Raw genomic sequence first — 12,569 nt, 5'->3', positions numbered from 1 at the left:
TCGTTGTTAAAATACTTCTCTTAACTTCCATTCACTGGTGCTGATTCCATGCTGTGAGACCCCCCTAAAACTATACTCTCACCTCTACTTCCCCTACAAGTCTTTTCTATACCAGATTACCCACCTCTCTTGGCACTTAGAGCAGGGTTTACACTGTTGTTTTGACAACAATTAATCTTCTAAGAATGCAGTGGTATGTCAGTCAGTTGGGGTCCACTGAAAGCCAATAGTCAAGAGTGAGTGAGCTGACCACTGCAAAAGAGAGCAGTGAATGTCATTTGCACTTCCACAGGGACTGCACAAAGTTCTCCAGTGCCGGGCTTCTCTCTGGACTTCACTGTTGTCAGTATGGTGAGAGTCAGAAAGAGACACTCTCCAATTATTCAGTCATTCACACCTGTAATCCCAGCACTTTGGAAGCCGAGGCAGGCGAATCACGAGGTCAGGAGTTCGAGACTAGCCTGGCCAACATAGTGAAACCCCATCTCTACTAAAAATACAAAAAATTAGCTGGGTGTGGTGGTGCACACCTGTAATCCCAGCTACTCAGGAGGCTGAGGCAGGAGAATCGCTTGAACCTGGGAGGCAGAGGTTGCAGTAAACCGAGATTACACCATTGCACTGCAGCCCTGGCAATAGTGCGAGATGCTGTCTCAAAAAAAAAAAAGAAAAGAAAAGACATTCCCTCAACCATAAATCAGCACCATCATCTTCTCGACATGCTGAAACCAGTCTTGATTGCTCCATATTCCCCAAACCCAAGAGAACTGACCATTCTACTACTTGGTCTGAAAAAGCTTAACAGAAAAAATTCTAGGTCTTACCATGAGTGGAAATGGACCAAAATGCAGATGAATTGCTAAATGTCTACCAGACTCCTTCCACCTTTCTCTAAACCTCTCATTCAGAACCTCCCTTTTACTCCCAAGCCATTCGGTAACCATTCTGCTTCCCTTCTATCTCCACATTCTATCTCCACCATCTGACTTCTCACTGCCATCTATAAAGAAGGCCTGGGTCAGGTGCGGTGGCTCATGCCTGTAATCCCAACACTTTGGGAGGCCGAGGCGGGTGGATCACGAGGTCAGGAGATCGAGATCATCCTGGCTAACACGGTGAAACCCCGTCTCTACTAAAAATACAAAAAATTTGCCGGGTGTGGTGGCAGGCGCCTGTAATCCCAGCTACTCGGGAAGCTGGGGCAGGAGAATGGCATGAACCTGGGAGGCAGAGGTTGCAGTGAGCCGAGATTGTGCGACTGCACTCCAGCCTGGGCAACAGAGCAAGACTCCATCTCAAAGAAGGCCTGAAATGTAGGGAGGAACCAGAGGAACAGTAGTACAGCCAGATGCCTCTTGCCACAGGAATTTTCGACATTGTCAGTCACATTGGGAACCATTTGTTCATGTCCAAGCTGGTCAAAGAGAAGCCCCTGGGCAGCAATGATTAAAGGAATTCTTGTTGCAGAGTAGCCAACACATTTATGTAAACTCTTTCTTGGTAATGATAAAGACCTAGGGTTGCATAGATATCTTGCAGCAGACACTGTTTTCTTGCAACAGACACTGCTTCAACACACACTGTTTTCTGATTTTGTGTTGAAATCTGGTGAGATCCACTTAACTTAGAACTCAATATTAGTGTAGGTTAAAAAAAAATTCACTACAGGAAGTAAATTGGCATTCTATATATTTGAGAAACTAATGTATAAAAATTCAAGATAATTACAATTGGAAGGGGACCAATAATTCCACTTTTTAATCGAAAATAATCTATATACTCCCAATAAACTCACAGTAAAATAAGCTTCAAAAAGCCTTAAGACACCAAAAGAGGAAAAAAAGCCAGTAATTAGAACAAAATGTGTAATGTGGTTAATAGTATAGATATGCTTGCCTTTAGACAATTCTTATATACTCAATTCTTACATGATTGAAAGATTCTGTAATAATGCTCTACCTTTTTATAAAGAAAAAAGTAGGTTTCCAAAAGAAAATTAAACGTTTATGACTGGAGTTAGCGGTAGTAAGGAATTAGATGTGAGTGGTTGACTGCTCTTTGTGCCTTCGACATTTTGCAGAAAATTCTGTCTTCTTTTTAGTCCATCCAAAATGACTGAATTATTAGATCCCAGACTCTGTGTCCTAAAGATATTAAAAATAACAGAATTATTGGCTTCGAAGGGAACTTGAATTTCTAACCAAGGCATTATACTTCCATTTGCTACTTTGAAGTAGTACATTTACTAATACAAAGGTACACTTATCAAATAAGTTAACCTTTAAAAATCCGAAGTGCTCTTTACATTTTAAAGGCTTCACAATAGCATCTCAATTATTTGACAGCTGCCTTCACAGAAGTTTATATTTTCTGAAAAACATCTCTTCTCAGATCTAGTATCAAGTATGTTCTAGTCAGAAACAGTAAGTTCCCCGAAAAACTTCCATATATCTGAAGTGGCCAATATCTTCCTGTGAAATTTATTACTTTTATGAGAAATCATATGGAAGAGAAAAGCAAATTATTATATTTTTAATATTACAATGTTCTTTTCTAGAAGGAACAAGCTATATTAGCCCATTATCTAACACATATGCCTTGCTTCAGCTAACTCACAATACTGTTTGGTAGGCTCTGTAATCCCAGCACTTCAGGAGGCCAAGACAGGCAGATCACTTGAGGCCAGGAGTTTGAGACTAGCCTGGACAACATGGTGAAACCCTGTCTCTACTAAAAATACAAAAATTAGCCAGGCATGCTGGTGCACACCTGTAATCTCAGCTACTCATGAGACTGAGGCATGAGAATCTCTTGAACCTATGAGGCAGAGGTTGCAGTGAGCCAAGATCGCACCCACTACACTCCAGCCTCAGCAACAGAGTGAGACTCTGTCACACACACAAAAAAAGTATTTTTGCTTTTTTTTTTTTTGAAACAGAGTCTCACTCTGTTGCCCAGGCTGGAGTGCAATGGTGCAGTCTTGGCCCACTGCAACCTCCGCCTTCCGGGTTCAAGTGATTCTCCTGCCTCAGCCTCCTGAGTAGCTGGGATTACAGGCGCGTGCCACCACGCCTGGCTAATTTTTGTATTTTTAGTACAGACGGGGTTTCACCATGTTGGTCAGGCTGGTCTTGAACTGCTGACCTCGTGATCCACCCGCTCCAGCCTCCCAAAGTGCTAGGATTACAGGCGTGAGCCACTGCGTCCAGCCTATTTTTGCTTTTCGACATTCCCTTTTCCCACTTTGCTACTCTCCATCAACTGTCCATTACATTAAAATATATCTCAAACATATTTCGTCTAATAAGTCTTTCTCTAAACAGCCCATCACTCAATTCCATCACTCTTTGACTGTTAAAGTCTCATGCTTTGTTCTTAAGTTCAACTTGCCTATGTTTATTGTTTGTCTCCCCAACTAAATTGTATACTTCCTGTAAGTAGAAACAATGTCTTGTTCATCTCTATCCCCCTAATCCTTATAACCATCATGGCACACAGTTGATGTTCAAATGTTACTTTCCTTTCCCTTTCCTCTAAATGCCTGTCAATTATAGCTAGCCTTTCAGGAAAGCATATTGCTTAAAAATAAGCAATCCTTAAGAAATTAAATTTCTCAAAATTTTGCAAATCAAAATTCCTAGTCACCTATCAAGGAGTAATGTCTCTCATCTGTTTTTGTTTTGTTTTTGCCACAGAGAAAGAAAAGGAACCCATGGCTTTTTGGTTTACACCACCATTGTTCACATTTGAAGACATGTTTTGATTATCTTAAATACTTAATAGCTGGGCATGGGGGCTCACACCTGTAATCCCAGCACTTTGGGAGGCTAAGGCAGGTAGATCACTTGAGGTCAGGAGTTTGAGACCAGCCTGGCCAACATGGTGAAAACCTCACCTCTACTAAAAATACAAAAATTAGCTGGGCGTGGTGGCGTGTGCCTGTAATCCCAGCTACTCAGGAGGCTGAGGCAGGAGAATCAATTGAACCCGGGAGGCAGAGGTTGCAGTGAGCTGAGATTGCGCTACTGCACTGCAGCCTGGGTGACAGAGCGAGACTCCATCTCAAAAAAAAAAAAAAAAAAAGAAAAGGTCTTGCACCCCCAATAAAGAAGTAATGATACGTTTTTAAAATGTAGATTTCTAGGAATATATCCTAAGAAAAAAACTCAGAAATGCCCACAAACATTTTTATGTAAAAATAACTCACTGCAGATTGATTTGTTAATAGCAAAAAATTGGGAATGATCTAAATGTCAAAGAAAGGAAAATAGGCTGGGCACAGTGGCTCATGCCTACAACCCTAGCACTTTGAGAGACCAAGATGGGAGAACTGTTTGAGCCCAGGAGTTTGAGACCAGCCTGGACAACATAGTGAGACCTCATTCTTAACAAAATAATAATAAGCAGCAGCAGCTGGGTGTGGTGGTGCAAGCCTGTGGTCCCAGCTACACAGGAGGCTGATTTGCTTGAGACCAGGAGGCCAAGGCTATAGTGAGCCCTGACTGAACCACTGTACTCTATCCTGGGCAACAGTGTGAGACCTTGTCTCTTAAAAAAAAAAAGGAAAATAATAGTTACATATATATATAGTCCACATAACAGAATGCTAAACAGCCATTAAAAAGAACAAGCTTGTGGCTCACGCCTGTAATCCCAGCCAAGGTGGGTGGATCACTTGAGACCAGGGAGGCCAAGGTGGGCAGATCACTTGAGGCCAGGAGTTCGAGACCAGCCTGGCCAACATGGTGAAACCTCATCTCTGTTAAAAAAAAAAAATACACACACACACACACAAAATAGCTGGGCATGGTGGCTCACGCATGTAGTCCCAGCCACTCAGGAGGCTGAGGCAAGGAAAAAAAAAGGCTTGAGGCCAGGCGCAGTGGCTCATGCCTGTAATCCCAGCACTTTGGAGGCTGAGACGAGTGGATCACCTGAGGCAGGAGTTCAAGACCAGCCTGGACAACATGGTGAAACCCTGTCTCTAATAAAAACACAAAAATTAGCTGGGCCTGGTGGTGTGTGCCTGTAATCCCAGCTATTTGGGAGACTGAGGCATGAGAATTGCTTGAACCCAGGAAGCAGAGGTTGCTGTGAGCCGAGATCGCACCACTGCACTCCAGCCTGGGCGACAGAGCAAGACTACATCTCAAAAAACAAATAAGCAAACAAACACCAAGCTTAAGCTACATTTATCAATAACAGGATATACATAAGTTACATGAAAAAAGAAAGCCATGGCTCTGTATGATTTGTTGTTAAAAATACTTTTATTAAGCCCTGGTACAGGGCTCATGCCTGCAATCCCACAACTGGGAGGCCAAGGCAAGAGGATGGTTGAATCCAGTTCAAGGCCAGCCTGGGCAACATAGCAATATATTGTCTCCACAAAAAAACGTTTTACACTTGATCTTAGCCAAAAGGCCGAGAAGTGATCAAAAAAACTTTTTAATTAGCCTGATGGCCAGTGCGGTGGGTCATGCCTGTAATCCCAGCACTTTGGGAGACTGAAGCGGGAGAATCCCTTGAGCCCAGGAGTTCGAGACCAGACTGGTAACACTGTAAAACCTCATCTCTACAAAAAATTAGCTGGGTATAGTAGCATGTGCCTATAATCCAAGCTACTCCAGAAGCTGAGGTTGGGGGATGGCTTGAGCCGAGGAGGCCTAGGCTGCAGTGAGCTATGATTGTGTCATTGCACTCCAGCTGGTGACAGACTGCAACCCTGTCTCAAAGAAAAAACAACAGAGCAACTTACAAATGCATAGAAAAAAGTGTAGGGCCAGGCACGCTCAGTGGCTCACACCTGCAATCCCAGCCGTTTGGGAGGCTGAATTGCTTGAGCCCAGGAGTTTGAGACCAACCAGCCTGAGCAACATGGTGAAACCCCATCTCTCCAAAAAAAAAAAAAAAAAAAAAAAAAAAAAAAATTAGCTGGGCATAGTGACATATGCCTGTAGTCCCAGGTACATGGGAGACTAAGGTAGGAGGATCACTTGAGCCCAGGGAGGTTGAAGCTGCAGTGAGCTGTGATTGTACCACTGCACTCCAGCCTGGGTGACAGAGTCAATCACTGTCTCAAAGCAAAAAAAAAAAAAAAAAAAATACTGGCAAAGATATGAACCAAATTTTAGAATGACCTTTGAGAAACTATTAAATAACATAGGGAAAATGTTCATATGATAGGCTATTAATTTTAAAAAGCAACATGCAAAATAGTAACTCAGTACGAGCCCAGTAGACAAAATCTATAGATCTATACATTTGGACTGAAGTGTTATACAGAAACAAACCAAATATAAAATGATTTTTAAAAAATATCTAGATGTTAGGCCAGGCACAGTGGCTCACACCTGTAATCCCAGCACTTTGGGAGGCCGAGGCGGGCAGATCACCTGAGGTCAGGAGTTCGAGACCAGTCTGGCCAACATGGTGGAACCTTGTCTCTATTGAAAATACAAAAAATTAGTCAGGCGTGGTGGCGGGCACCTGTAATCCCAGCTACTTGGGGGACTGAACCAGGAGAATTGCTTGAACCCAGGAGGCGGAGGTTGCAGTCAGCTGAGACCACACCATTGTACTCCAGCCTGGGCAACAAGAGCAAAACTCCATCTCAAAACATATATGTGTGTGTGCGCGTGTGTGTGCGTGTGTGCGCGCGTGTGTGTGTGTTAGAATAAGTATAGGTGTTTTAAAAAATATTTTTCAACCAGTAAGATTGTTAGCTATTTTAAAAGAAAAAAAAATACTTTTCAGTACTTAAGTGTTCTATCATGGCTATACTATTTTTATAATCCAAACAACATTTAAACAAATTGGCATGGAAAACATTAGTGGAGGCCGGGCATGGCAGCTCACGCCTGTAATTGCAGCACTTTGGGAGGCTGAGGAGGGCGGATCACTTGAGGTCAGGAGTTCAAGACCAGCCTGGCCAACATGGCAAAACCCCGTCTCTACTAAAAAATACAAAAATTAGCTGGGTGTTGTGGTGCATGGCTGTGATCCCAGCTACTTGGGAGGCTAAAGTGGGAGAATTGCTTGAACCCGGGAGGCGGAGGTTGCAGTGAGCAGAGATTGCACCACTGCACTCCAGCCTGGACGACAGCAAAACTCTGCCTCAAAAAAAAAAAAAAAAAAGAAAGAAAATATTAGGCTGGGCGCAGTGGCTCACGCCTGTAATCCCAACACTTTGGGAGGCCAAGGTGGGCGGATCACCTGAGGTCAGGAGTTCAAGACCAGCCTGACCAACATGGAGAAAACTCGTCTCTACTAAAAATAAAAAATTAGCTGGGTGTGGTGGTGCATGCCTGTAATCCCAGATACTCGGGAGGATGAGATAGGAGAATCACTTGAATCCAGGAGGCGGAGGTTGTGGTGAGCCGAGATCACGCCATTGCACTCCAGCCTGGGTGACAAGAACAAAACTCCATCTCAAAAATAAAATATTAGTGGATAGTAGCCACATCCCTTTCTCAACCTGTGTAGAGCCAGGAATAGAAGTGAAAACTTCCAACCCTCAGTTCAGAAAGTGCTTGGCTTACAGAAATTTCTATTTTTAGAAATAATTGAAGATTTATGAGTAGTGGGGACAGTCAAATTTGGTTCACATTAAAAATAAACTGTATCCTACTATATAAGAGATTTCATTGTAACTTTATACAATTTATTCAGTAAAGGTATAAAAGCTGGCAGAATTGTATCATTATAGAAGTGTGATAGTAGTCTCTGACTAGTTAACAAAATACCCTTGATTTTCATAATTCCTGTAGAACTGTGGCTAATCAGCCATTTTCTTTTTTTTTCTTTTTTTTTTTGAGGCAGAGTCTTGCTCCATCACCAGGCTGGAGTGCAGTGGCACGATCTCGGCTCACTACAACCTCCACCTCCCGGGTTTAAGCGATTCTCCTGCCTCAGCCTCCCGAGTAGCTGGGATTACAGGGACGCACCACCACACCTGGTTGTATTTTTAGTAGAGATGGGGTTTCACCATGTTGGCCAGGATGGTCTCAATCTCTTGACCTCGTGATCTGCCCGCCTCGGCCTCCCAAAATGCTGGGATTACAGGCATGAGCCACTGCGCCCGGCCTAAATCAGACACTTTTGTATGGACCTACCGTGGAGAATCTATTCCACTATCTCCTGCCATGCTGTGATTTTCTGTCCCTTCCAAGTGACTGTGTTCATATTGGACATCCTGAGCCAACACTGGCATATGTGAAGTGTTGAAAAGTTGGAACTTTTGTGGGAAATGTTTTCTCATTTCCTGATTCTGAGGACTCTGACTCCAGCTAGCTGGCTTCTTTCCTGTGTCACCAATAGTGTCTTGTATGACTTCAGCTTCAAAACTGGCTTTTCTTGCGCTATAGTAATCAAAGATTCTTTCATCAGCAGGTGCTGAGGCCTGTACACATTTAGCAACACTGGGTTCTTCTTCGTAGTTAAAACCAAACTGGGCCCCTGAATTTAGGCCACAACTTTCAGCAGAGAGGTTAGGTTCTTGGCTTTCACCTGGGGTAGCATGCAGCCCAGTGGGTTTGTAGCATTCATTTCTTTTAAGCACCTGAGACTCAACCCTCTCCATTGTGCTGTTGTACTCGGTCAGAGATCTCTCAATCACTTTTTGTTTTCCTAAATGATTTCCCTGGCTTCCACCTGTGAAGGAATACTGACTGTGGCCAGGCAGCATTTGACGTAAGTCGTCATTCTCAGAAATGTCATCCTCCTCTAGATATAATGAACTACAGGCACCATCATCATCTTCCACTTCATTCTGATACAAGGCCTGGTCATCGTTAGAAAGCTGTTCATTTTCTAGGCTTGTAGTCTCTGCATCCTGGACAAATCCTTTTCTCAATAATTCTTCTGAGTCTTTGTCTTGTCTTGCAGCTTGTCTTAAAGGGTTCACGCCAACTGGGTAATCCAAAAGGCCAAGATTTTGAAACTGGTGTATTGTGTTATCCACTAATCTACAAGCAGAGGGTGTTCGGTCTGAAAAGGAGGCACCTCGTGATGGCAGACTATGCGGAGTCTGTTTGGTCTCCCCTAATTTGTCAAAGTGGGAATGACTTTTCCTCAAGACTTCAGGAATTACCTCATTTTCTCCACCATACACTTCATATCTCAACATGCTTTCCATAAAGGGACAGCATTTACCATCATTTTGCAACATGCTCTGTTGAGGGTGACTGAAGAGGTGACCTCTGAAGTCATCATTGATGGGTTTGACAGTAGGGTCATTTATGTAAATGGATTCTGCTTCCATTTTATCATTAGGTTGTTCAGCATATGGCTCTTTGGCTTTACCATCAAAGATTCTTGAGGAATCCAAGGACCTAGGCTTTTGGAAAGGCTTTTCCTTTGGTCCAGTCTGGCTGGGTTTCAGATCACTCGTCTTCTGAATTTTGTGCCCTTTGGATATTGTGCTTCCTCGGTGAGACAAACCCTGGAAAGGATTACTGATTCGCTTTTTGTAAATCAAATGGGAACCTAGCACTGTTGTAATCTCACCAAGTGGTTTCTGACCTACCATTTCATTTGGGCTTTTAATTCTGGGGATGGGCTGTGTAGCAGGGAGCTTGGGGTGTTTCTCCAGTCTAATGCTTCCTGGCTGAAACTCACTTCCCTGATTCCTGGCTTTGTGTCTATCCCTTCGAGAATGGCCCTGCCCTTGAGGTTTTGCAGACAGACCCTGCCTTTTCTTAACCCCCTCTTTTGAAGGATACTTATGCCCGATTGTCAGCATGTCAGTGGAAGTGCCCTGGCTATTATATTTTTTCTGTTCTTCGTATTTTTGCATTAGGACAGTGTGTTTGATTAAATTGTCAACAGTCAAAATGGGGTTAATTCGTTTGATTATCTCATGTTCAACATCTCGAGGGATATTGTCCAAGTCATCTTCATCTCGGACGGGCCATTCTTCAGGTGGGAACTGAGCAGAGAAACTGCTGTGTTCTGTTTTGGGCTTCTCCTTTCTAGATAAGCTGCGCCATAAGAGACTAAAACCAAACTTCTTGCCTTTTTCTTTATCTCTTGTGTATGGTAAAGGTTTGGTGCTCTCACAAATGTGGTGCTCCGCAGACACTGAAACTGCCCCATTCTGTACCCAAGATACGGATTCCCCAAGACCTCTGTGACTCTTCCTAGTCACTTCTGCAGCAACTGGTGCTTCCTGAACATCCTGAGTGTGCATGTCCCGGAAACACTGGCAAGACTGACAGTGGGATATGGGGGCAGCATTCTCTTGGGCTGACTCTGCACAGCTCTCCATGCTCACCAGATATGTCATGGAAGCTGGCATCAGGCGACTTTCATCTGATGGCAGCATTCTCTTATTTTCCTGGGTGGTTGTATTTGTAATGAAGTAAGTCTGAGGAGTAACTATGAAGTATCCTTCTCCAGTGTGATAAATCTTCCTTTCTTTAATCAGCGTTCCCAGAGTGGTATAAAGAATATCTTCCGATGGAATTGCAATGCCTAAAACAGACAAGCATTTTACAGATAGATTTTGAATAAGAAAAATTTTAATGAGTGAAATCAGTAACTCTGAAATGACTACACATTGGCTTGATAAACCCAGAGCTGATTGTAACATAATACATGTGATTAAAATGCCAGGGATGGGTGTGATGGCTCATGCCTATAATCCCAGAGTTTTGGGAGGCTGAGGCAGGAGGATCACTTGAGCCCAGGAGTTCAAGACCAGGCTAGGCAACATAGCAAGACTTCGTCTCTACAGAAAAATTTTTAAACATTAGCCAGGTGTGGAAGGATCATTTGAGCCCAGGAGTTCAAGACCAGGCTAGGCAACATAGCAAGACTTCATCTCTACAAAAAAATTTTTAAACATTAGCCAGGTGTGGAAGGATCATTTGAGCTCAGGAGTTCAAGGCTGCAGTGAGCTATGATTGTGCCACTGTACTCCAGCCTGGGCAACAAACCAAGACCCTGTCTCAAAAAAAAAAAAAAAAAAAAAAAGCCAAAGAAGCATAAATAATATTTATAACTTAAATAATAGGAATAGGCCAGGCATGGTGGCTCACACCTGTAATCCCAGCACTTTGGGAGGCTGAGACAGGCAGATCGCTTTAACTCAGGAGTTCAAGACCAGGCTGGGCAACATGGTGAAATCATTCCTCTACTAGAAATACAAAAATTAGCAGGGCATGGTGGCGGGTGTCTGTAGTACCAGATGCTTTGGAGGCTGAGGTGGGAGGATTGCTTGAACCCTTGGAGGCAGAGGTTGCAATGAGCTGTAATTGCACCACTGCACTCCAACTTGGGCAACAGAGTGAGACCCTGTCTCAAAAATAAAAATAAAAATAACAGGAAAATAATTTGGTCCACACAAAGTCATATGGGTAGGTTAATGAGTAAATAGACAAAAAAAATCTGAATTCACTCAAATAAAAACCCATTATAAATTTAAACTGTGACTGAGGAAAACATTCGTTTATTTAGTAGCTAGGATTACAGGCACCTGCCACCGTGCCTAATTTTTTTTTTTTTTTTTTGTAGTTTTTAGTAGAGATGGGGTTTCACCATATTGGCCAGGATGTTGTCAATCTCTTGACCTCGTGATCCGCCCACCTTGGCCTCCCAAAGTGCTGGGATTACAGGCGTGAGCCACCACACCCGGCCCAGATGCCATTCTTGAAAAGGAAGAAAATAAATAAATAAAAGAATGAGTGGTGCGCACCTGTGGTCCCAGCTACTTGGGAGGCTGAGGCAGGTGGATTGCTTCAACCCACGAGTTTGAGGCTGCAGTGATCTAAGAAGGTGCCTCTGCACTCTAACCTGGGCAACAGAGTGAGGCCTTGTCTCAAGTAAAATAAAGAATGAGACATATCAATATATGTTAGCATGGAAAGATCTCCGAGATGTGTTTTTAAGTTAATAAGAGAAACGTGTTGAGGGAATGTATAGAATGATCCAATTTATGCCGGGCATGGTGGCCCTTGCCTGTAATCCCAACACTTCGGGGGGCCAAGGCGGGTGGATCATGAGGTCAGGAGTTCGAGACCAGCCTAACCAACATGGTGAAACCCCATCTCTACTAAAAATACAAAAATTATCTGGGCATGCTGGCAGGCGCCTGTAATCCCAGCTACTGAGGAGGCTGAGGCAGAAGAATCGCTTGAACCCGGGGAGGCGGAAGTTGCAGTGAGCCGAGATGGTGCCACTGCACTCTAGCCTGGGTGACAGAGCAAGATTCTGTCTCAAAAAAAAAAAAAAAGATCCAATTTATGTTATGAAAAATTTATTATATTATCATATATAAGAAATGATAATAGCAGTTATTACCTCTGGGAAGTGAGAATGAAAAAATAGGAGATGAGGGGAAATAAACTTTACTTTCTCATTTTGCACTCCTTTCCACAGAGTGTGATTTATTTATTTATTTATTGCCATAAGCATTTATTTTTGGAAAAGTTTATCTGAAAAGTAAAAGAAATACCCTTATCAAATTTGTTGATGCAGGACTTCTTCTGGCAGGGTTCTGATATAAAGTTCTATAGAAGAGGGGAAAAAAGGATATCACCCAGTTTATGTGCTTAAGACTAATTATAAAT

General features: G+C 43.0%; 1 protein-coding gene across 5 annotated transcripts in view; it reads right to left on the bottom strand.

The window, feature by feature from the left end:
- Positions 1–12,569, bottom strand: part of STOX1 (storkhead box 1) — a 67,902-nt gene that overhangs the window by 700 nt on the left and 54,633 nt on the right. For 2 of the 5 annotated variants that reach the window (NM_152709.5, XM_011539454.3), the window contains exons 3-4: positions 8,115–10,473; positions 1,673–2,144 (exon numbers count right to left, since the gene is read on the bottom strand). In NM_152709.5, coding sequence (NP_689922.3) covers positions 1,997–2,144; positions 8,115–10,473 — 2,507 coding nt within the window. In that variant the 3' untranslated portion in view covers positions 1,673–1,996. Of the gene's footprint in view, positions 1–1,672; positions 2,145–8,114; positions 10,474–12,569 lie in introns of those variants that run through there. The other 3 variants (NM_001130161.4, NM_001130159.3, NM_001130160.3) reach the window with 3 other exon arrangements.

Source organism: Homo sapiens, chromosome 10 (genome assembly GCF_000001405.40).
Source record: "Homo sapiens chromosome 10, GRCh38.p14 Primary Assembly".
NCBI classification, from domain to species: domain Eukaryota; kingdom Metazoa; phylum Chordata; class Mammalia; order Primates; family Hominidae; genus Homo; species Homo sapiens.
The sequence above is the reverse complement of the archived record's forward strand: the minus strand, read 5'-3'. Positions and strand labels throughout refer to the sequence as shown.